At 40.6% G+C, this 23,177-nt stretch overlaps 2 protein-coding genes across 18 annotated transcripts in view, besides 3 other annotated features; both read right to left on the bottom strand.

The window, feature by feature from the left end:
* ZNF410 (zinc finger protein 410) overlaps nt 1–13,058 on the bottom strand; it is a 45,663-nt gene extending 32,605 nt beyond the window's left edge. For 3 of the 6 annotated variants that reach the window (NM_021188.3, NM_001242926.2, NM_001242928.2), the window contains exons 1-5: nt 13,002–13,058; nt 7,709–7,890; nt 5,985–6,120; nt 3,383–3,601; nt 1,655–1,846 (exon numbers count right to left, since the gene is read on the bottom strand). In NM_021188.3, coding sequence (NP_067011.1) covers nt 1,655–1,846; nt 3,383–3,601; nt 5,985–6,120; nt 7,709–7,741 — 580 coding nt within the window. In that variant the 5' untranslated portion in view covers nt 7,742–7,890; nt 13,002–13,058. Of the gene's footprint in view, nt 1–1,654; nt 1,847–3,382; nt 3,602–5,507; nt 5,559–5,984; nt 6,121–7,708; nt 7,891–13,001 lie in introns of all 6 variants that reach the window. The other 3 variants (NM_001242924.2, NR_040251.2, NM_001242927.2) reach the window with 3 other exon arrangements.
* Nucleotides 12,999–13,068: an enhancer, noted in NCBI's record as "active region_8722". NCBI's record gives its function as "activates an Ori minimal core promoter by ATAC-STARR-seq in GM12878 lymphoblastoid cells {active_cell/tissue: GM12878}" and the evidence as "EXISTENCE:reporter gene assay evidence [ECO:0000049][PMID:35858748]".
* Nucleotides 13,119–13,398: a silencer, noted in NCBI's record as "silent region_5922". NCBI's record gives its function as "represses an Ori minimal core promoter by ATAC-STARR-seq in GM12878 lymphoblastoid cells {active_cell/tissue: GM12878}" and the evidence as "EXISTENCE:reporter gene assay evidence [ECO:0000049][PMID:35858748]".
* PTGR2 (prostaglandin reductase 2) overlaps nt 14,191–23,177 on the bottom strand; it is a 33,896-nt gene continuing 24,909 nt past the window's right edge. For 7 of the 12 annotated variants that reach the window (NM_001371330.1, NM_001146154.2, NM_001371331.1 and 4 more), the window contains 6 exons: nt 22,749–22,919; nt 20,612–20,821; nt 19,741–19,862; nt 18,625–18,712; nt 17,479–17,518; nt 14,191–15,816 (listed from right to left, as the gene is read on the bottom strand). In NM_001371330.1, coding sequence (NP_001358259.1) covers nt 15,740–15,816; nt 17,479–17,518; nt 18,625–18,712; nt 19,741–19,862; nt 20,612–20,821; nt 22,749–22,865 — 654 coding nt within the window. In that variant the 5' untranslated portion in view covers nt 22,866–22,919 and the 3' untranslated portion in view covers nt 14,191–15,739. The remainder of the gene's footprint in view (nt 15,817–17,478; nt 17,519–18,624; nt 18,713–19,740; nt 19,863–20,611; nt 20,822–22,748; nt 22,920–23,177) is intronic. The other 5 variants (NR_163921.1, NM_001371327.1, NM_001371328.1 and 2 more) reach the window with 2 other exon arrangements.
* Nucleotides 14,700–14,809: an enhancer, noted in NCBI's record as "active region_8721". NCBI's record gives its function as "activates an Ori minimal core promoter by ATAC-STARR-seq in GM12878 lymphoblastoid cells {active_cell/tissue: GM12878}" and the evidence as "EXISTENCE:reporter gene assay evidence [ECO:0000049][PMID:35858748]".

The raw sequence follows: 23,177 nt of genomic DNA, 5'->3' as shown, positions 1-23,177 counted from the left end.
GCCTATTTGGGGTGATTTTATATTCAGGCATACAAAGTAGTTGTTAAGATAGTAAGGCAACATACTTTGAGAGTAAGAAAAACATCCACACAATGCTTTGCTGATTATAACATTTCCCAGATAGAATGTTACATAATCTCCATAACAAGCCAGTCAGGAAAGCTGCCTGATCTCTATGTTCAGATCGTAAGAAAATTGAAGCTAAGGGAGGTTAAACTGCCCAAGGCAGGGAACCAGTAAATGATGGTGCCAGGCCTGGATCCCAGGGCTCCCAGATTCTAAATTGCAAGCTCCCCTCCCTACGCTGCTTCTCATTGGCAAATATGACACTATTTCTTCAATGTAAGAGGAAATGCTGAAGGTTTCAGCATCTGGAGATTGGCACATATATCTCAGGAAGAATCTGAACTTTAAGGGTCCCACCAAAATGTTAAAATGAACCATTCTAAGTAGCACTATGGTAGTCATAAACAGAACTAAGTATTTTGAAAACAAACAGTTTAGAGTTTGGCTGGGGATGGTTGCTCACACCTAAAATCCCAGCACTTAGGGAGCCAGAGGCAGGAGGAGACCCTGAGTCCAGGAGTTTGAGACCTGTCTGGCAACAGAGCAAAACCTCATTCTCCATAAAAAGGGAAAAAAAAAGACCAAAAAAAAAAAAGATTTAATGTTTCAAAATATTCATAGGGAACTCTAGTTCTCTATGAGAAATTTTAACTTTTTATTTTCATTTGAATGGTAATCAAAAAATAATAATAAGCATATACTAGATAATCTGCATAAACTCCAAACAACTGTGTACTAAGTGCTTAAGCTTAGTTTGTGATAATGATAGCATTAAACCATGTTGTATTGAGTTGTGTCACATGTTAATGAGAAAACACAGAGGCAGACCTAAAAAAGTATCCATGACATGCTACATAAGCAAAGATTCTGCAGTGGTCTGAATAGAGCCGTGGTTCTCAAGCTTTAACATGTATCAGAACCAAGTTTTTGACTCAGTAGGTCTGGCATGGGCCTGAGAGTTTATATTTCTCAGTTCCCACGTGACGTCAATGATCCAGTGACAATGCTTTGAAAATTACTAGAACAGAGAAAAGTGACACAGAGTAAGTAGTATAGGCATGCTGAACTGAAAAGAAAAAGCATTAAAACCATCATAGCTAATTGTTAAACTGCCATGAGCAGCAATTTAGTTTCAGCAAAACATAATCCTCTGCCACAATGACTTAATGTTATTTTTATTTTCATGGATTTGGTAGTTTTATTCCTATTAACTGATAAAAACTGTTTTGATTTCATGATGGTATAAGAGCTCTAAGTATATGAAGTTTACACAGAATTTATGTTTTTGCATATTTAAGAGACATTACAATAAAAACAATTCAAACCCCAGGATGTATATTATTTTTTCTTTAAAAGGGGCTCTGTACATTATTTAAAGTTGAGAATTCAGAATACTAGTTGGTTTTGAACACAAATCTGGCATGACCAAGTTATTTTATAGAAAATAAAATTTAAACAATTTACAGATTTCTAGCCTTCTGCTCTCATCAATAGAATAATTTAAATTATATACAACTCAAACCAGCCACTGCATTACCAAAATCTCTTTGCACAGAATAGTGGCAAGGAAAATGCCGACGGGCCTCACCATTGCTGCTGGTTTTTGCATTCTTTGCCAGTTGTGCACGAGTAGCAGCAATCAAACTGTCATGGGCCAACTCCTGAACCCGGAGGAACCATGGAATGCTACTGTCTGTGCTCTCACTGGAGAGGAAATCATTCCCTGAATCTTCTGCCTCATCCTGTACAAACACTAAGTGCTCAGCTGAAGAGCCCAGACCTGGAAGAAACAAAATATATGAAAAGTTAGAAACCAAGCAAGCTTTTTATTTGCCCTGGCTCAGAGACTCTCCATGTCCCTTTTTTTTTTTTTTTTTTTGAGACGGCGTCTCGCTCTGTCACCCAGGCTGGAGTGCAGTGGCGCAATCTCGGCTTACTGCAACCTCCGCTTCCCAGGTTCAAGTGATTCTCCTGCCTCAGCCTCCTGAGTAGCTGGGATTACAGGCATGCACCACCACGCCCGGCTAATTTTTGTATTTTTAGTAGAGACGGGGTTTCACCATGTTGGTCAGGCTGGTCTTGAACTCCTGACCTCGTGATTCGCCCACGTCGGCCTCCCAAAGTACTGGGATTACAGGCGTGAGCCACTGCGCCTGGCCCAGAAACTCTCCATGTCCTAAATAAGCTATTCCTGACCTTCGCCTTTTACCTCAAACTTCTCACTGAAGAGCAGGCTATCATCTTTCTACCTTTAGTCTACAGGCTTGTCATTACCTTGCCTCCTCTGGTTTCAAGGCAAAGCTGTCTTTCTTGGTCAACCAGACTAATCCCCACCTACTGTATTTCATTCTCATTCTTCAATTATCCCCCCATATATACTTGTGTTATCTCCTCTCTCCTATCTGCAACTAGTTCCTCTCTATCGGCCAGCATTTCCTTATGTCTTTAAATATGTCCTAACTCAAGTCTCTCACCCTTATTTTTAAAAAGAATTAGAAAACCCCAAGTACTTCTCTAGCTATTTACCTTCTTCCCTGTTCCTTTAAAGTCAAGCTTCTTGAACAAGTGTACCTTCTAACTTGTGTATCTATTGTCTTACCTCCCATCCACTCCCCATCTCTTTAACCCTGGCCTCTACCTCAGCTACCACAGTAACAATTGCTCTTGCTAGGGTCACCAGACACACACTTCTTCTCACTAATAAGCCCATCATGTAGTATTTGGCATGATTTAGTATCTTTTCTGCCTTAAAACTTCTTCCTCCCTTGGCTTCCCTGCTACCACTCTCTCCCAGTTCTCTTCATCCCCTTCCAGCTGCTCCTTCCTGTTCTGTTGTCCTCTTAAATGTTTTTTCCCAGGGTCCCAGACTTGCCTTCTTTTCTGTTTATGCTTGAGACTTCTCTAGAATCCATGTTCATTGTTTCATACGTTTCCTGAATGCTGATAAGCACCAAAACAGACCTTTCTAGAACTCTGGATTCATGTTTCTAACTCTCTAAAGGACATGTCCTCCTGAATATACCTCCAAAATCTCAACATAAATAGGTGCAAATTGGAACTAATCATCCTCCCCCAAGCCTTGCTCTTCCTGTGCGATCTCAGTAAATGGCACTACATAATTTCCCAAACAAGATATGAGTCATACTAGAGTCCTCCCTCTCCCTCTACATATTCAAATGGTCACCAGACACACCAATTCTCCAAAATAATAAAATAATAAAGGTTCTTTCTATTTTAAGTATGACTAAGTTAAATATGCCCCACCCCTAATTTTTTTCTTAGGCATAAGCAGAGCCCAAAAAAAAGGAAAGAATACCTGCTCTTGTTAGGTTAAGAAGAATAAAAGAAGTGCTATCACTTGGCTGTAGATCTTGCAACAAGCTAGAAGACTCTGAAGTGGACAAAAACTCCGGGGATTTCTGTACAGTCTGAGCTCTCGTCTCCTCTCCGTCTGGACCCACATTCACCCGAAGGCTTCTCAAAACAGCTGAGGAAGGGACCTCCTTGGAGGAGTTAGAATGATTTGTAGTATCATCTAGTAAAGGGAAAATACCACAGCTTTATGTAGCACCTATCTCTAGGAGCCCACCATTTTGATACACAGCACCCAACATCTCTTGGAAGCTAACATCCTTATAGCAACAGACAGCATTCTCATTACACAAATAAAAACTTTGTCTCACAGAAGAACAGAGAGATGGCTTTATGTTCCAAAGGCAGTCAGCCAAAACGTGAGGAACAGAATTCTCTGTCACTTGGCAGTAATGGTTGGTGAATAACCAACCATTCAACATTTGGACATCACAGAATTTAGTCCTTTTTGAGGCCAGAAATCAGTACTTTCTCCTTGAAAAATATAGCTATACAATGAATACTAACTCAAGAATAGGATCTACATTTTATTTTTCCTGGAGAGAGCTCCCTCTCCTTAACTTTTGTATTAGGTTGGTGCAAAAGCTATTGCAGTTTTTGCCATTACCTTTTTACCTATGGTTGTATCTCAGGCTGCGGTTATTTTTTCTGTGCCACCACACCTGGTTAACTTTTGCATTTTTAGTAGAGAGGGTTTCACCAGCCAGGCTGGTCTCAAACTCCTGACCTTAAGTGATCCACCCACCTCGGCCTCCCAAAGTGCTGGGATTATAGGCATGAGCCACCACGCCCGGCCTGTAATATTGTGTTTTATGAGCTGGGAGGCCAAGTATTTGGATTTTCATTTACTTTTATCTATACTTGTATGTCTAAAATACTTTAAATCAAAATTAAAACTAAAAGAAATGTGGAAAAGAAGGTGAATGCATTTTTTTTTAAATGCATTCATTAGTTGATGAACACTAAAGCTGATTCCATATCTTGGTTATTGTGAATAATGCTGCAATTAACATGTAAGTATAGACATCTTTGACTTACTGATTTCAATTCCTTTGGATATATACCTACAAGTGAGATTGCTGGGTCATATAGTGGCTCCATTTTTAGTTTTCTGAGGAACTTCCATACGGTTTCCATAATGGCTGTACTAACTTACATTCCCACCAACAGTGTACAAAGGTTCCCTTTTCTCCATATCCTTACCAACACTTGTTATCTTCCATCTTTAAGATAACAGTCATTCTAAGGGAAGATGAACGCTGTTGTTTTCATTTCCTTAATTATTGTTTGTTTATACATATATTTTTTAAATTTATTACTATTTCTTTTAGACAGGGTGTTGCTCTATCCACCCAGGATGGAGTACAGTGGTGTGATCACAGCTTACTGCAGCCTCAAACTCCTGGGCTCAAGTGATCTTCCCACCTCAGCTGGGACTACAGCTGCACACCACCATGCCCAGCTAATTTTTAATTTTTTGTAGAGACGAGGTCTCGCCATGTTGCCCAGGCTGGTCTCAATCTCCTGGGCTCAAGCTATCCTCCTGCCTCAGCCTCCCAATGTGCTGGGATTACAGGCACGAGCCACCACACCTGGCCTGTCTTCAACTTTTCTAACTGGTTCTTTCCCCTTAGCATAAAGCAACCCTCAAATATCTCAGATCTTAACACAAACAAAAAATTTCCCTCTATCTTACCGCCTTCTCTTTTTCCTTCTCGTACCAGGAGAGACTTTAGAAAGTATGTATTGATAGGCCTGGCGCAGTGGCTCACGCCTGTAATCTCAGCACTTTGGGAGGCCAAGGCGGACTGATCACTGGAGGTCAGGAGTTCAAGACCAGCCTGGCCAACATGGTGAAACCCCGTTTCTACTAAAAATGCAAAAATTAGCCAGGCATAGTGGCACGCACCTGTAATCCCAGCTACTTAGGAGGCTGAGGCAGGAGAATAGCTTGAACCTGGGAGGGGAGGCGGAGGTTGCAGTGAGCCAAGATTGCGTCACTACACTCCAGCCTGGGCGACAGAGTGACACTCCATCTCAAAAAAAAAAAAAAAAGCAAGTATGTATACTCAAGTCACTGCAGCCTGACTTTCCATCCTCTTCTCTCCATGGAACAGGTTCTGCCAAAGTCAATAATGGAGTCCTTTTAGTCCCTATTTCACTGGGCCTGTCAGTAGCATTTGATACAATGATTTCTCCTGGGTTTCATGCCTCCACTCTGCTGATGTTCATCCAACTATTTTAGTCTTTGTTTCTTCCCTCCTTTACAAGTTCTCCTGCCCTACCCTGTACCTTAAATAAAGAGTTCCATAGTTTTGCACTGACCTTTTTTCCCCACTCTCACACTCTCTGGGTGATCATATCCATTCCTATGGCTTAAACTACCAATGCACTAATGATTTCATGGTTGCTTTTTCTCCATGACTCCTAATTTTTACAGTTTCCACCAGTCAGTTATTAAACGATATATTCATTCCACCAGTAACATAGAGTAGGCTAAGCTCTTAAGACTTCTTTATCCTATTTCTAGTGATCTTAATTTTTACCTGGTAACATTAGCCGACTGCATTCTGAGGCTTCAGTCACGGGAAGGAGGGACAAGCAAGTAATATCTTTAGCTTCTGATTCTACAAGCCCCTGTCCCAATGGGATGGACGTATTCTGAACAAACTGTACCAGGAGCTGGGGGGAGAAAAGACAACACTGAGAAATACGAGTTGTTAGAAATGTATCTAAACCTTTGAATTTACCAAAAGATAATATTAAGACTGTTCACTAGTCTCATCCATATTCAAACAAAAACTAAACAACATAATATCTAAAGTTATTTTATCAAGTTCTCTGTTCTAGAGAACAGCTGATTTATATAAAGTCATGTGCTGCAAAACGACATTTCAGTTAACAGACCACATATAGGATGATGGTCCTGTGAGATTGTAATATCCTATTTTTATTGTACTTTTTCCACGTTTAGATATGTTTAGATACACAATGTTTACCACTGTGCTTCAACTGCCTACAGTATTCAGTACAGTAACATGCTGTATAGGTTTGCAGCCTAGGGGCAATAAGGTATACCATACAGCCTAGAGTGTAGCAGGCTAAACCATACAGGTTTGTGTAAGTATACTCTACCATGTTCGCATAATAATGATATCAACTACCATCATATTTCTCAGAATGTATCTCTATCGCTAAGTGACACTTCACTGTAATTAAGTTAACCTCTGCCACCTTCTGTCAAACAGAGAAATGATAAAAATAATTACATTTTAAAATAATGGCTTAAAAAAAATCAACTGCATCATATTGATTACATTTTACAAAACACTTTTCTGTGTACTGGCTCATTTAATTATCGCATTAACCCAGTAAGATTTAAGATGTATTTTTTTTTGAGACAGAGTCTTGCTCTGTTGCCCAGGCTGGAGTGCAGTGGCATGATCTTGGCTCACTGCAAGCTCCACCTCCTGGGTTCACGCCATTCTCCTGCCTCAGCCTCCCAAGTAGCTGGGACTACAGGTGCCCGCCACCACGCCCAGCTAATTTTTTTTGTATTTTTAGTAGAGACAGGGTTTCACCATGTTAGGCAGGATGGTCTTGAACTCCTGACCTCATGATCCACCTGCCTCGGCCTCCCAAAGTGCTGGGATTACAGGCGTGAGCCACCGCACCCAAACTTAAGGCATATTTTACAGCTGAGGAATAAAATTGAAGACATTAAGTGACTTGTCTAAGGTCACAAGACTAGTTAGGAGCAATGCCAATCCTCAAATTTAAGTAATCTGATTCCAAATTCAGTGACCACTCTGCAACACAGATGTGCTAAATTTAAAGTAAGAAAAGTGAACAACAAAAAATGTTTAAATCCCCAATCACATTTAGAAAGAAAATACTTACAGATATATATAAAATAAACAAAAGAATTTGTAGTAGTAAATATTTATATACTTATACACCTATACATCACATGTATCTCATATTTATGTATATATTTATACATAAACATATATTTTTATTTATAAGATTTTATTACATTATCTAAATGTATGATTTCACATATACTGAAAAACAGATATAAAAACAATCACAAAAAATATAATTTTTAAATCTTTGAAAAAATAGTAACAATCAAAACCATATAGCTTAAAAAACCTAAAATATTTATTATCTGGCCCATTAAAGAAAAAGTTTGCTGACCCCCTAAACTGAAGATAAACTTTGAAATATAGCCCACCAAAAGAAAAGGAAACAAGCTGACTGGGCTCACCTCTGGTTTGGATTCTAACTCATCTGATAACATTGATTCAGCTTCCAAAACCTGTAGCTATTCAGGGGACAAGTTCAAATTTAATTCAGAGCCAATGATACCTTCCTGTTATGTTCATATTCCTCTAGGAAATACTATGCTCTTCCCGTAAGATGTTGTACTAGGTGGGTAATCAATGTAACCTAGAATAGGGGTAAAAAAGAGAGAGGGGGCATTAAGAGCAGTGGGAAAACACAGGTACATAAAGACACTTCTTTACATATACAAAAAAAATCACAACAAGCAAGCAAATAAAGAATTCAAACCGAAACACTTCTTTTAAAATACAACAAGCTCAACAGGCATCAAAACCCATAAAAATACTACGCTTTGATGCAGTATTTCAACCTCTAATAATCTAAAAAACTATCTTAAATATGGATAGAGCTATGTCCAAAGATGTCCGTCTTATCCTATGTAATAAACAACTGGAAGCAATGTATACACACACACACACCCCCAATTAGGGAATGGTTGATTAAATATGGCACTGTCACTTCAAAATATGCTGTGAAGGGTTGGGTGTGGTGGCTTACAACTGTAATCCCAGCACTTTGATAGGCTGAAGCAGGTGGATCACTTGAGGTCAATAGTTCGAGACCAGCCTGGCCAACATAGTGAAACCCCCTCTCTACTAAAAATACAAAAATTAGCTGAGCATGGTCGCAGGCACCTGTAATCCCAGCTACTCGGGAGACTGAGGCAGGAGAATCCCTTGAACCCAGGAGGTGGAGGTTGCAGTGAGCCAAGGTCAGACCACTGCACTCCAGCCTGGGCGACAGAGCAAGACTCTATCTCAAAAAACAAACCAACAAACAAATGCTATGAAGACAATGCAACAACAAGTGACTGACATGTTAAATTATAAAAATAAAATACAAAATTATATACTTGCTATTATTAAAACTAGTTATAATAAGCATCAGAAAAAGTAAAAGGAGATTCATACAGCTATGACCGTAGCTATACCGTGTGGTAGGCTGGTGTGACTTAATTTTCTTTTCTCAATTTTCCAATATTTCTAAAAGGCAACCATATTGTTTTGATAATTTTTAAAATTACATTTAAAAAAAAAAAAGTTAAAATTTGAAGAGCGTTTCCCAAAGGTAGTGCTCTCAGGACCCTGATGCGGCTGTTCTCTCTCTTTTATTTATTTATTTAGAGATGGAGTTTTGCTCTTGTTGCCCAGGCTGGAGCACAATGGCACGATCTCAGCTCACCACAACCTCTGCCTCCCAGGTTCAAGCAATTCTGCCTCAGACTCCTGGAGTAGCTGGGATTACAGGCATGAGACACCACACCTGGCTAATTTTGTATTTTTAGTAGAGACGGTTTCTCCATGTTGGTCAGGCTGGTCTCGAACTCCCAACTTCAGGTGATCCGCCTGCCGTGGCCTCCCAAAGTGCTGAGATTACAGGTGTGAGCCACTGCGCCCAGCCACTCCCTATAACTTAAATTCTTACTTTCTTATAGCTTAGTTTCTTTTCAGGATTTTGGAATGTGAGTCCATTTTATTTTGTACAATTGTTACTAAAATTGGGAGCACTATTACAAATAATCATACAGTGTAAAATGTATCCAGGATGGGTATATTTTCAATCAATGGGTACTTTAAAGTTTCCAATTAATACCAGGTAGTGTGGAAAGGTAGAACAAGACAGACTTTACAAAGAGGGCACTTAGGCTGGGCACGGTGGCTCACGCCTGTAAACCCAGCACTTTGGGAGGCCGAGGCGGGTGGGTCACCTGAGGTCAGGAGTTCAAGACCAGCCTGGCCAATATGGCGAAACCCCGTCTCTACTAAAAATACAAAAATTAGCCGGGCATGTGGCGGGTGCCTGTAATCCCAGCTACTCGGGAGGCTGTGGCAGGAGAATCGCTTGAACCCGAGAGATGGAGGTTGCAGTGAGCTGAGACTGCGTCACTGTACTCCAGCCTGGGCGACAGAGCAAGACTCCATCTCAAAAAAAAAAAAAAGTAACTGAATAAATGTTTTTTTGTCCTGTTGGTTTCTCCCTCTCTCTTTCTAAGCTACCTGAAATCCTCATTTTTCATTGTAAAAAAGTAACCATTTAGGCCGGGAGCAGTGGCTCACGCCTGTAATCCCAGCATTTTGGGAGGCCGAGGCAGGCGGAACACAAGGTCAGGAGATTGAGACCATCCTGGCCAACATGGTGCAACTCCGTCTCAACTAAAATACAAAAAATTAGCTAGGTGTGGTGGCATGTGCCTGCAGACCCAGCTACTCAGGAGGCTGAGGTAGGGGAATCGCTTGGACCTAGGAGATGGAGATTGCAGTGAGCCGAGATCGCTCCACTGTACTCCAGCCCGGGCGACAGAGCAAGACTCTGTGTCGAGAAAAAAAAAAAAAAAACTAACCATTTACAAGATATAAATGGAAATGCTCCTTCCAAGTTTCCCACATAAAGTATCATAAATCCCTGACTTTTCTTCCACACATATTTTTCTTATTCAAGCACTGCAACAGTTTCATATGGTTTATCCATCCCTCTATTTAGAGAGGAAGGAACCAAGGCTCAGTATATTACTTAATTACCAAGTTATTAAGTTGCAAAGCCAGGACTCCCACCCACACCAGAAGTATGCAGAAATCATTGGCGTGAATAGTGATTACATCTCTCTAGGTTTGACCCTGAATCTCCATGGCCTAAGAATTCCTTTTCTCAGCCTAGGCAACACAGTGAGACCCTATTTCTTTTTTTTTTTTTTTTTTTTTTGAGACTGAGTCTCGCTCTGTCACGCAGGCTGGAGTGCAGTGGCGCGATCTCAGCCAGTGAGACTCTATTTCTACAAAAAAAAATTTTTCAATTAGCATCACATGGTGGCACATGCCTGTGGTCCTAGCTACTAGGGAGGCTGAGTAGGAGGATTGCTTTAGCCCAGGAGATCGAGGCTGCACTGAACAGTGATCACGCCACTGCACTCCAGCCTGGGTAACAAATGGAGGCTGTCTCAAAAAAAACAAGAATTCCTCTTCCCCAATTCCAGCTTGTCTTAACAAGCCAAGAAATTATCAGATGTTTGTTGTTTAAGTCATCCTTAAGGTTCCTCCAACTTTGAGATTCCAGGATTGTAAAATCTCTGAGGAACCAGACAACTATTTACTGTCCTTTTTATGTTATCTATGACATCTTTTTATTTCAGTGTTTTCACTTCAATAATCTTTAAAAATTAACACGAGCATTTTCTCAAGCACTGGGTATTCATATTATAACTAAGTACTACCATACAATTTTTGTGTCCAAGTTTATGATTTGTATGTGTACGGTATGAATAAAATAAAAAATAGCAGGATGCATTAAGATATGCAACTGAACTCAAAAGAATTTGTACTAGAGCACTCAGTATCTTATCAAGTGTACTGTGGGGATCTCATCTTTAACAGAGCAACGTACTATGTACATTAGCTATAGGTGTAACGGCAAATACACAATTAAACATTCCTATTCCCAATTCCTTACTCAACAGATTTCCAAAACTGCAATGTAAATCTTTTTTAAAAATTAGTTTCACTAAGATATCGTTCACATACCATACTATTGACTCATTTAAAGAGTACAATTAAAATATCTTTAGTTCATTCAGAGTTGTACAAGCAGAACCACGATCAATTTTACAATATTTCATCACCTCACAAGGAAACCCTGTGCCCATTAACGGTCACTTCCCACTTCTAATGTGTTTACTATGAGCTTAAAGGGCTTCCATACAAGCTTCCCAGTAAGCAACTGGTAGGTACTAAATATTTGTATAATGAATGAATGACACTACAAATGATACCTACATTTTTCTCTAGTCATCTCTTCTGAACTCCAAACCTTCATTTCTAACTGCTTGCTAGGTATCTCCACATGTATATCCAACAGCATCTCAAACCTAACAATGTCCAAAATCCAGATTATTATCTTCCTTACCAAACCTGTTCTTCTTGTATTACCTATTTCAATGATCGCCCAATCTTCCTCCCACTCAGCTGCAAATTCTAGGTCTTTAAATCTCTCTCATTCTCCATTTTTAAATAATTCCCGTGATTCTCTGTTCCCAGAATGTTCTCTGTTCCCTACTGTAATGCCCTGTTTAGGTCTCTCAGTAACTTTCTACTATACTATTAAAACAGGCCTCTAACTGGTCACCCCGCGTTTAAAATTCCTCTTTCCAATACATCCTTTATGCAGCCATTCAAGTTATCTTTCCAAAACAAAGAAATGCTTATGTCACTTCTACTCAAAGTTCAGTGCCTCGGAAAAATTGTCATAGCCCTAAAGGTAAACCCCTTCGTTTACAGAAAAACTCCCCAGAGCTAGAGATTCAGCAACTTGCCAAAAATTAGACATCTACTTAGATGCAAAACGTAAAAAACTAGAACTTAAAACTTCTGACTGCTACTTTAGTTGTCTTTTACTCTGCACCACACTAAGAAAAAACCAAGTGCAATTTCTCACTCCCTAACAAAATGCCCGACTTTATTTCCAAATGTTTTTTATTTATTGCAAATATGCTGCGTTGACCTTCGTTCCAACCTAAGTACTAATTCTTAAGTCCCAAGTTAATAATATTTAACTTCCAAATGGTGCCTAAATGCATTTCTGAGCCTCATGATCAAGTGGGATAAACTTTAATAAATTGGATTATCTTGAGAAACTTCAGAAAATAAATTCGACACGAAATGTATGAAGGCCGTAAACAATCCACACACTCCTGCCCCCCGAACTGACAGGCAAAGGAGAAACGGGCGACCCAGCCCAGCCGAGTAGGCAGCTGTCCCTTTTCCAAACCCAGAAAGTAAGTGGTATGAAAGGAGAGGGTAGCTCTGGACTGAAACATTCAGGGCAAGGCCTCCTGGCATCCTCTACCCCACACCACAAAGGCCTCAGAAATAAGGCCCCAAGGTCCGTAGGCAGGCCCCGGCTGCGGGTGCAGTCCAAGAGCCCCCGCCCCGGGGACTCGCTGACTCTGGCTTTCTCAGGACAGTCTGTTCCTATATCCCTACCCCCAAAACCAAGCAAAGGAGCAAGAACATCGCCCCTAAAAACCCGCGAGGGGAAGGGCCAAAGCCGCAGGGCTTCAGACTGGCCGCTCCCGGGCCCGCCAGATCCAGGAGGGATGCCCAAGGAGGGCGGTTTCCTCTCTCGGGGCGAACTCGGCCCCAGGCCCCAAGTAGCCGGTACTGGCCCCCGCCCTCTCGGGTACTACCTAACCGAGGAGGGGTGGCCAGGCCCACCTCGGAGCTCACCTTCCAGTTCCGGGAAGCCGGCCGGCCGTCAGTCGGTCCCGAATTCCGTCCACACACAGCGTCTTCCGGCTCCCGCCGGAAGCAGCTCGAGCGCGGGACAGGAAGTTTGGCTGACCCCCCACGCACACACCCACTCGCTCGCCTCAGTGTCGTGTGGCTGCCGCACTGCTCGGGACCCAGACGTCAAGGGTGCTGGCGGGGCCTCCCCAGGCCCGCGACGCAGGGCTCCGCCCCGGACAGGAGGAGCCGCAGCCGCCCCGCTCCCACTCACTCACTCACTCTCGGCCTTCGGGACTCCTATGTCCGCGAAGCCCGAAAAAACAGGTCAGCTAATTCGTTGACGTCACTGCCACCCCGCAGTAGCGGAGGGAGTAGTTTTTCCCATCAGCGGAGGCGTTGCAATGGAGGCAAACGCGAAAGAAAAGATCACTGCTTAAACATTTATCAAAGGTCTCCATGGAGAGGACCTTCGAAGTTTCACCGCCCGAGAAAGGAACTTGCAGAATCAAGTTTTGCATTATATACGGGACGGGGTATGCAGTGAGTCTGGGTTCCGTGTTGTAATTAGGATGTAAAGAGCTCTTGGATGTCCCGACTGCGGGCTTGAACACTTGACTTCCAAGCTGGATGCCACCTTGTTAAAGCTTTGTGAGTTTGACTGACTTCTTGAAATTACTTATTTTAAAATATTTGCGTGCGGAAGAATGAGAGACTCAACCGTGGGAATTAAAGGAGTTCTCTTTAAAAAGGCATTTTCAAGGTTAAAGATAAGCCTTGATGACAGGTTTGGGTACACAAATTACTAATGGTGATTTAAAATAAAGGAGAAACATTTCAGAGGAAGATAATTCCACTTTAGAAAAGCAGAGTAGGCCGGACTCCGTGGCTCACGCCTTTAATCCCAGCACTTTGGGAGGCTAAGGTGGGCGGATCACGAGGTCAGGAGATCGAGACCATCCTGGGTAACGCCGTGAAAACCCGTCTCTACTAAAAACACAAAAATTAGCCGGGCGTGGTGGCACGCGCCTGTAATCCTAGCTACTCGGGAGGCTGAGGCAGGAGAATCGCTTGAACCCGGGAGGCGGAGGTTGCAGTGAGCCGAGATCGTGCCGCTGCACGCCGGGCGACTGAGCAAGACTCCATCTCAAAAAAGAAAAGAAAAGAAAAAAGCAGAGTATAAGATGCAATCCAGAGTTGAGGATATTTACTTGGAGGTAAAGGTCCAGTGCTCAAGAAAGAGGTCAGAAATACAGATGGAGATTTGGGAGTTAGCAACATACAGAGAAAAGTGAAACCCCCTCAGGCGATGAAATGGTCCAGGAAAAGTAACAAAAAAGGGCCACTCACGAAAACTGGGGAGGCTGATTACCAACACAGTTTGAATCTACTTATTACAAATGTTGCATACAAAAGTATATTGGCAGTGTGTAGACAATCATAAGCCAAAACATTCAGAAACAATAATCTTCAGTTTTACTGTTCTGCGAGGGTTGAGTACAATTAATAAAACAAACTTTTGAGGTACATCAGTAGTTCCTGAACATTCATGTTTACAAACATTTGTTAATTTGCCCAGTCCTGTCATTTTCTGAAACTGTCTTTGTTGTCAATCTGTTTTTGTTTTTTGAGATGGAATTTCACTCTTGTCGCCCAGGCTGGAGTGCAATGGTGCAAGCTCAGCTCACGGCAACCTCCCCCTCCCAGGTTCAAATGATTCTCCAGCCTCAGCCTCCTGAGTAGCTGGGATTACAGGCGTGTGCCACCACGCCCAGCTAATTTTTGTATTTTTAGAGAGATGGGGTTTCACCGTGTTGGCCAGGCTGGTCTTGAACTCCTGACCTCAAGTGATCTGCCCGCCTCTGCCTCCCAAAGTGCTAGGATTACAGGCTTGAGACATCAGGCCCGGCTGTCAATCTTTTTAATCACCTACAAGTGATGTTTACATCTGTTTGCCCTCTCAATCTTTACAACTTGACAGTATGTGCCTGCTAACCTAAAATAAACATATGCTTTTCTCAATATATATGGAGTTTTTAGGCTATACAGTAAATTATTTGGCAAATACAAAGAGATGATCCTCTGGAGTAAATCTTGTCAACTTAACCAACCTAAGTTATTTATCTTCCCATACTAATCCCAACCCAAAACCGCTGGTCTCCTATCCCAAAAACTGTTACACAAGCTCCGAAACCCCCAATCCTGCCCCCAGTCCCTATGTACACATCATACCATTAAGTCTCTTTTCAGTCTACAATGTGAAAAAAAGGCCATCTCAATTCTATTTTTACACCAAGTTTCAGTTTAAGAATCATGTAAAACATTTCCAGTTCAACAAATCTTTACTCAGTGCCTCTCAAGCATTCTATTTTATTTTAAGCATTCTATTTTAAATTAATAAAAGTTATTAATATTAATTTTAAAAAACCTATTGTGTATGATTCATTAATGGTTGTATCAGATCATGTAAAACGTTTCCAGTTTAACAAATCTTTACAAAGTGCCTCTCAAGCGTTCTATTTTAAATTAATAAAAGTAATTACTAAAAGTTATTAATTTTTAAAAACCTATTGTGTATGATCCATTAATGATTGTATCAAATACCCTATGCAACTAAAAATAACACCTATGATCACATTTAAATCAAGAGCTATGTATAGTCTAAGGATTTTTTAACATATCTTTGAAAATATGCAAAATGGAAAAGAAATCTATGATTGCCTTGATGACATTTACAGCAATTACAAAGAGATTTCTTCTGAAATGCAAACTATCTGCTTTCCAATGTTACCTCCTGTCATCATGGACTGGAATGCAGCTGGAAAAAGAGAAAGTAGGTTATCTGAAAAGATAAATGTCACTATCATACTTGTTTCCAAAAGGTACAACATATAAAATTATGTTAAATAACTTTTTCAATGATTTTGAATATTAAGCATAGAAGAAAATGGTCATGAAAAGAAATCTCAAGTAAAAAGTTACACACAAACTAACCCAATTAACATCTTAAAAAAATGTTTTGCCCATACTGGAAAGATTTAATTGGTATCTAACTGGTATGCACATCAATGTTCATTGTTTACAGTATCTGAAGACTAGAGGCAAAAAAAAATGGGAATAAAATGTGAGTGAAGGCCGGGCATGGGGCCTCACGACTGTAATCCCAGCACTTTGGGAGGCCAAGGTGGGTGGATCACTTGAAGTCAGGAGTTTAAGACCAGCCTGACCAACATGGTGAAACCCCATCTCTACTAAAAATACAAAAATCAGCTGGGAGTGGTGGTGTGTGCCTGTAGTCCCAGCTACTCGGGGGGCTAAGGTGGGAGCATCACCTGAACCTGGGAGGTAGAGGCTGCAGTGAGCCATGATCGCACCACTGCACTCCAGCCCGGGTGACAGAGCATGGCCCTGTCTCAAAAATTAAAAAAAGGGCTAGGCACTCACACCTGTAAATTCCAGCACTTTGGGAGGCTGAGGCAGAAGGATCATTTGAGGCCAGGAGTTGCCTGGACAATATAGTGAGACCCTGTTTCTATGGAAAATTAAAAAAAAAAAAAAGGTTGGGCATAGTGGCAGGTAATTGTAGTACCAGCTACTCTGGTGAGAGGATTGCTTGAGCCCATGGGTTCATAAGTTACAGTTAGCTATGATCATGCCACTGCACTCCAGCCTGGGCAACAGAGCAAGATCATCTCTTTAAAAAAAAAAAAAAAAAAAAAAAAAAAAAAAAGGGAGGTGAGGGGAGGGAAGGGCAGGGAAGGGGAGGCCAGAGAGGTAGCATTAAAAGATAAAAGACTTTGGCCTGTGCGGTGGCTCACGCCTGTAATCCCAGCACTTTGAGAGGCCGAGGCAGGCAAATCACTTGAATTCAGGAGTTCAAGACCAGCCTGGCCAATATGTTGAAACCCTGTCTCTACTAAAAATACAAAAATTAGCCAGGCATACCAGTGCACGCCTGTAGTCCCAGCTACTTGGTAGACTGAGGCAGGAGAATTGCTTGATCTCGGGAGGTGGAGGTTGCAGTGAGCCAAGATCATACCACTGCACTCCAGCCTGGGAGACAGAGCAAGACTCCGTCTCAAAAAAAAAAAAAAAAAAAAAAAAAAAAAAAAAAAAAAGGGCCAGGCGTGGTGGCTCACGCTTGTAATCCCAGCACTTTGGGAGGCCAAGGCAGGCAGATCACGAGGTCAGGAGATCGATACCATCCTGGCTAAGACAGTGAAACCCCGTCTCTACTAAAAATACAAAAAATTAGCCAGGCGTGGTGGCAGGCGCCTGTAGTCCCAGCTACTTGGGAGGCTGAGGCAGGAGAATGGCGTGAGCCTGGAAGGCGGAGCTTGCAGTGAGCTGAGATCATGCCACTACACTCCAGCCTGGGCAACAGAGCAAGACTCCGTCTCAAAAATAAATAAATAAAAATAAAGAGACTTTATCTTTGTGTGCTGAGCATGTGTATATAATAAGTCTACATTCATCTTACCTCCCATGTTTTCCAACCCATTTATTACCGTCTCTTTAATCTGTAAATCAAAATAGCTAGATTTAATAGTCTTTAAACTTCAATGTTTCTATATGATAGTTTCCATACTTACAAAAGCCAGCAATACTATTTAGCACTTTGTCTAAAAATAGATATTCTTTATTTCATGTAGGTAGCCCAGAAAAGCTTCCTATCAATTGATTTTTTAAAGTAATATCCTATTTTCCCATTGTTTAATCTCTTCAATTAGTAACAGATCACAAGCTATACACTCTAAAACAGAAAAAGAACAGTACAGAAGCACACAAAGGTACAACTTTGCTTATCATTTGCAGGTTTCAAGAATAGCCTAGGCCAGTCCAGGTGCACTGGTTCACAACTGTAATCCCAGCACTTTGGGAGGCTGGATGGGCAGAACACTTGAGGTCAGGAGTTTGAGACCAGCCTGGCCAACATGGTGAAACCCCATCTCTACTAAAAATACAAAAATTAGCTGAGCGAGTGGCATGTGCCTGTAATCCCAGCTACTCGGGAGGCTGAAGCAGAATAATTGCTTGAACCTAGGAGGCGGAGGTTGCAGTGAGCCGAGATTGCGCCACTGCACTACAGCCTGGGTGACAAAGTGAGACTCCGTCTCAAAAAAAAAAAAAAAAAAAAAAAAAAAAAGAATAGCCTAGGCCAGTATGTCTGAAGCCCAGATTAATAACTCCTGATTTTCGATCAACAACTAAGACATACATTAGAATGTCCAGGGAGGACAGGGAAGAAGTATGGTGGTATAAGCATCAGGAGGTGCTCACATTATTTTTGAGAAAGCACAGCTTCTAACACATAGTAGCATCCCATAAATATTTGTTAAATTAATAAACATAATTTTACATTTGGGGGAAAACCTAATGATTTTGTAATATAATCTATGGAAAGTAAAGCTAAAAAATTTTAGATAAAGGGAATAACAAGCAAGGGTTTGTTGATCAGGAGGTTATACTCACCTGGGAGGTAGAGTTAATTTATAATATTCAGCATACTTTTCTTTTGTAGGAATTTTTATAATGAAACTAGTATGTTTGCTATAGTACATTTAAATAATGCAAAATTATATCAAGTAGCAGGAAGAATTATATTGATAAAGAATAGAAGTTCTACCTTTAGCTTTCCTTCTTTAAACCACTGACTCAGCTGTAGAATGCCAGGCTCAAATTTGTCTTTATAATTTAATACCAGAAATCTTTCCCTGCAGTGAGGAAGAAAAGGATAATGATCAGAGAATATAACGGGAGTGGTATTCCAAGATCAAACCATTCCAGAATTCTAATATCTGTTAATCCTTAAAATATTAGGACATAACACATTGAGTCTGATCAGATAGTTTTATGCATAGTTACAGGTGTAAATGTAGACTTCTATTAATAATTTTTCAAGACCAGCCTGGCCAACACGGTGAAACCCCCGTCTCTACTAAAAATACAAAAAAATTAGCCGGGCATGGTAGTGAGCGCCTGTAGTCCCAGCTACTCGGGAGGCTGAGACAGGAGAATCGCTTGAACCTGGGAGACGGTGGTTTTAGTGAGCTGCGATCGCGCCACTTTACTCCAGCCTGGGCGGCTGAGCGAGACTCCATCTCAAATAATAATAATTTTTGTCTGCCCAGTATCTACAACCCCATTTGTTAATAGCACCGTGAATTTTTCCTTTGTGGGTAGCATCCTTTCTCGACCCTCATGTGACTTAACCCAGGCCAGTCAAAGCCAATAACTATCAGTTTTCAGGTAGCTAGTTAGCCAGAACCTAAATATTGAACCAGCTTAAAAAATGTGTATTTTAAAGGTTTTTTTTTGTTTTTTTTTTTTTGTTTTTTTGAGATGGAGTTTCGTTTTCATTGCCCAGGCTGGATGGAGTGCAGTGGCATGATTTTGGCTCACTGCAACCTCCACCTCCCAGGTTCAAGTGATTCTCCTGCCTCAGCCTCCCAAGTAGCTGGGATTACAGGCGCCCATCACTACACCCGGCTAATTTTTTTGTATTTTTAGTAGAGAAGGGGTTTCACCATGTTGGCCAGGCTAGTTTTGAACTCCTGGCCTCAAGCAATCCACCCGTCTCGGCATCCCAAAGTGCTAGGATTACAGGCATAAGCCACTATGCCCGACCTAAAGTTTTATTTAATAAAGAAAAAGTGTCTATGAAGAACAATAGATTTCATACACATCTATGATATTTAAAACCCCATGAACCTGGTAATAAGGGCAAAGAGGAAGAACACACCTTGTGATGTTTCTTTCTTTCTGGATTGCCTCTATAGCAGGGGATAGCGGGGGAGGATAAGGCACATCTTTGTTGTACTGAGAAATTTGACCACACAGGATGATGTGGCTGTTCTCATTCATCTGCACAGAGAAAAATAATGATAAAATATCCCTTTCCTATGTTTACTGATTTTATGGCTGCCATAATGGAAGCCTCCTTGACTATTTAATCCTTTCTGTCAACTAGTTCGATTTTTTTTTTAATTTACCTGTTAGAGGTATTTAAGAATTTTAACTAGCTAGAAATAATTACATTCCAAAGGAACACCAAGGCAAATAAATGGTTGGTAATCAGCAAAAGAATTACATTAGTTGTTGTTGCTACTTATTAGTGGTAGAACTGTATTTTTTTGGATTTAAACAATTTAATAATCTCAACTGCAAATAATTTTAGATGCAGCAAAGGACTATGTAGTGTTAATACCTCATGTTGATATTTTATAATATTGTTAGTAAATATGCATAAATACATGCAGCCTATGAAACCCATAGGTCTGGGGCCATGGCTGTGAGTTGGTCAGTGGTGAGTTAGGGATCAGTGCTTCAGCATTTCAACAATGCAACTGTAATTTTTCACAAAAATAAACCAAAAGTGAAAAATATAATATTGGTAGCAAATAACTGAAATTGAAGTTCATAGTACAAATCTGCAAGTAAATGGAAGTAGGTATCAGCAAGCTCTTTTGTATCACTTAAATACAATACTGATCATCACATTAAGTCACAATAATCCCTCCAATTTTATAAATTTTTTTCTCAGTATTAGGTAAAAAGATATCACAACATATAAAGTGCAGTATTCAAATTTGTTATAGAAATCAGCAAACAACCTGACTTATCACTGTATCACTGATGTTACCACCAACATTGTCAAAATAAACATCCACTCCAGCTGGGCATGATTCACGGAGCTGTTCTGCCACATTGTCTTTTTTATAATTAATTGCAGCATCAAAGCCCAGTTCTGAGGTCAAGAGGATGCATTTCTCATGTGTTCCACAAATTCCCACCACTCTGGAACAACCTAAGAAATGGCCAATCTAGGGGGGAAATTTGAAGATTAAATGGCTTTATATTGTCACATTTAAATGTAAAAATGTACCAGTATACAAGATATTACAGGTATATGACAGTGTTCATTACAATTAAGGTTAGATTACGCTGCTTTTAATGAAAAGTAATTTGAAACTAAAAGAACTGAGGGCAGACAATGTCATCCTAAAAAAAAATTATTAAAATTGAACAAAGGTAGACTTATGTTCCTCAACTTATGATAGGGATATGTCCCAATAAAACCATCATTAGTTGAAAATATCCTAAGCAAAAAATGCATTTAATATACCTAACCTACTGAACATCATAGCTTAGCCTAGCCTACCTAAAACATGCTCAGAACACTTATGGCTGGGCAAAATCATCTGGCAACACAGTACACCGTAGAGTACCAGTTGTTTACCCTTATGGTCATTGTCAAAATAAACATCCACTCCAGCTGGGCATGATTCACGGAGTTGTTCAGCCACATACGGTGGCTGACCAGGAGCTACAGCTTGTTGCCGCTGCCCAGCATCTCGAGAGAGTGTCATACTGATATCGCTAGCCTGGGAAAAGACCAAAATTCAAAATTCAAAGTATGGCTTCCACTGAATGCATAGGGCTTTTGCATCACTGTAAAGTAGAACCATCATAAGTTGGGGACCATAGGTAGTTTAAATGTTAAAATCTCACAATTTTTGGCTTTCACTCATTGAAAAATATAAAATCAAAGAATAATAATTAAATTTAAAAAAATAAAATTTCGCAAATTAAATCTGATTTCATAAAAGGAATAAATAATCAGACCCAAAACATCACGTGCAATTCATTATTTTTCAAGCTTGTGGCGAACTAAAATCACAGCTCGGACACAATGTTTGTTTTCAATGGTTTCAACCTATAAAGGCTATTATTTATAAAAGGATGTACTTTTATAAGATTCTTTTTTTGTTTTTTTAAAGAAACAGGGTCTGTCACCCAGGCTGGAGTACAGTGGTGCAATCATAGCTCACTGTAACTTCAAACTCCTGGGCTGAAGTACTCTTCCTGCCTCAGCCTCTCAAGTAGTTAGGACAACAGGCGTGCCACCACGCTGGGCTAATTTATTTACTGAAGAGTCTTACTATGTTGCCCAGGCTGGTCTTGTGCTCCTTTCCTCAAGTAATCCTGCCAAGTTGGCCTCCCAAAGCACTGGGATTGCAGGCATGAGCCACTGTGCCAGGCCGACTTCATAAAATTCTATCAAAATGTTTACACTTCTAGAATTCAATAAGTGGTTTCTTATTTGAGGATATTAATTTAAAATGTGAGTTTGACTTTTAATTCATGCAATTCCAAACAGCTTCTCTATCATTCTCTTCCTTATAATAATGAAAGCAAAGCTTTAGCATTTACTATATCTCCTTTTGGTTAACAGAGAATAAGACACTAAAATCTACATTTTTCATACTGTTAGTAAGAGAGTCTAAGTAGGTAAAAAAAAAAAACCATTTCTACAAGAAACGTGTGAAAGTCATTATAAATTTAGTCAATTTTGGCTGGGCGTGGTAGCTCACACCTATAATCCCAGAACTTTGGGAGGCCGAAGCAGGTGGATCTCTTGAGGCCAGGAGTTCGAGAACAGCCTGGCCAACATGGCAAAACCCCATCTCTACTAAAAATACAAAAATTAGCCAGGTGTGGTGGCACACACCTGTAGTCCCAGCTACTCTAGAGGCTAAGGCATGAGAATCTCTTGAACCCAGGAGGCGGAGGTTGCAGTGAGCCAAGATTGCGCCACTGCACTCCAGCCTGGAGACTCTGTCTCAAAAAAGAAAAAAAAAATTTATCCAATTTTATATTTTTAATGGTATACATATATCCGGAATTTCAATTAAGAATTATAACAATCGTCAAATAATCAGAAAATCAAATAATTCTCAGAAAGTTTACCTGCCCAGCCACAGATCCACAGGCACCTGCGGCCCCACTGACAACCATTGTCTTATTAGATCCAGCAGTTATATGACCTTTTTCCTGTATCCCAATCAAGGAAGTCAAACCAGGCATACCTATAGCTCCAAGAAAATATGAAAGGTGTCCATCCACAAGTTGTGGGTCTACCTAAAATAAAATATATACCCTTTAAAAATACTAGGAATTCCTGTTTTGAGACAACAAAGTAGAGACAACGTGTTATGGACTGAATTGCGTCCCCACAACATTTATATAGTAAAGCCCTAAGCCCCAGTGTGACTTTATTTGGAGATAGGCACTTAAAGGAGACATTTAGGATTGAATGAGGACATAAAGGTGGGGTCCTAGTCCAACAAGACTTGTGTCCAGGCCGGGCACAGTGGCTCACATCTGTAATCCCAGCAC

The sequence above is a fragment of the Homo sapiens genome, chromosome 14 (genome assembly GCF_000001405.40).
Source record: "Homo sapiens chromosome 14, GRCh38.p14 Primary Assembly".
Classification (NCBI taxonomy): Eukaryota; Metazoa; Chordata; class Mammalia; order Primates; family Hominidae; genus Homo; species Homo sapiens.
Note: the sequence above shows the minus strand (reverse complement) of the source record. Positions and strands in the feature narration are given on the sequence as shown.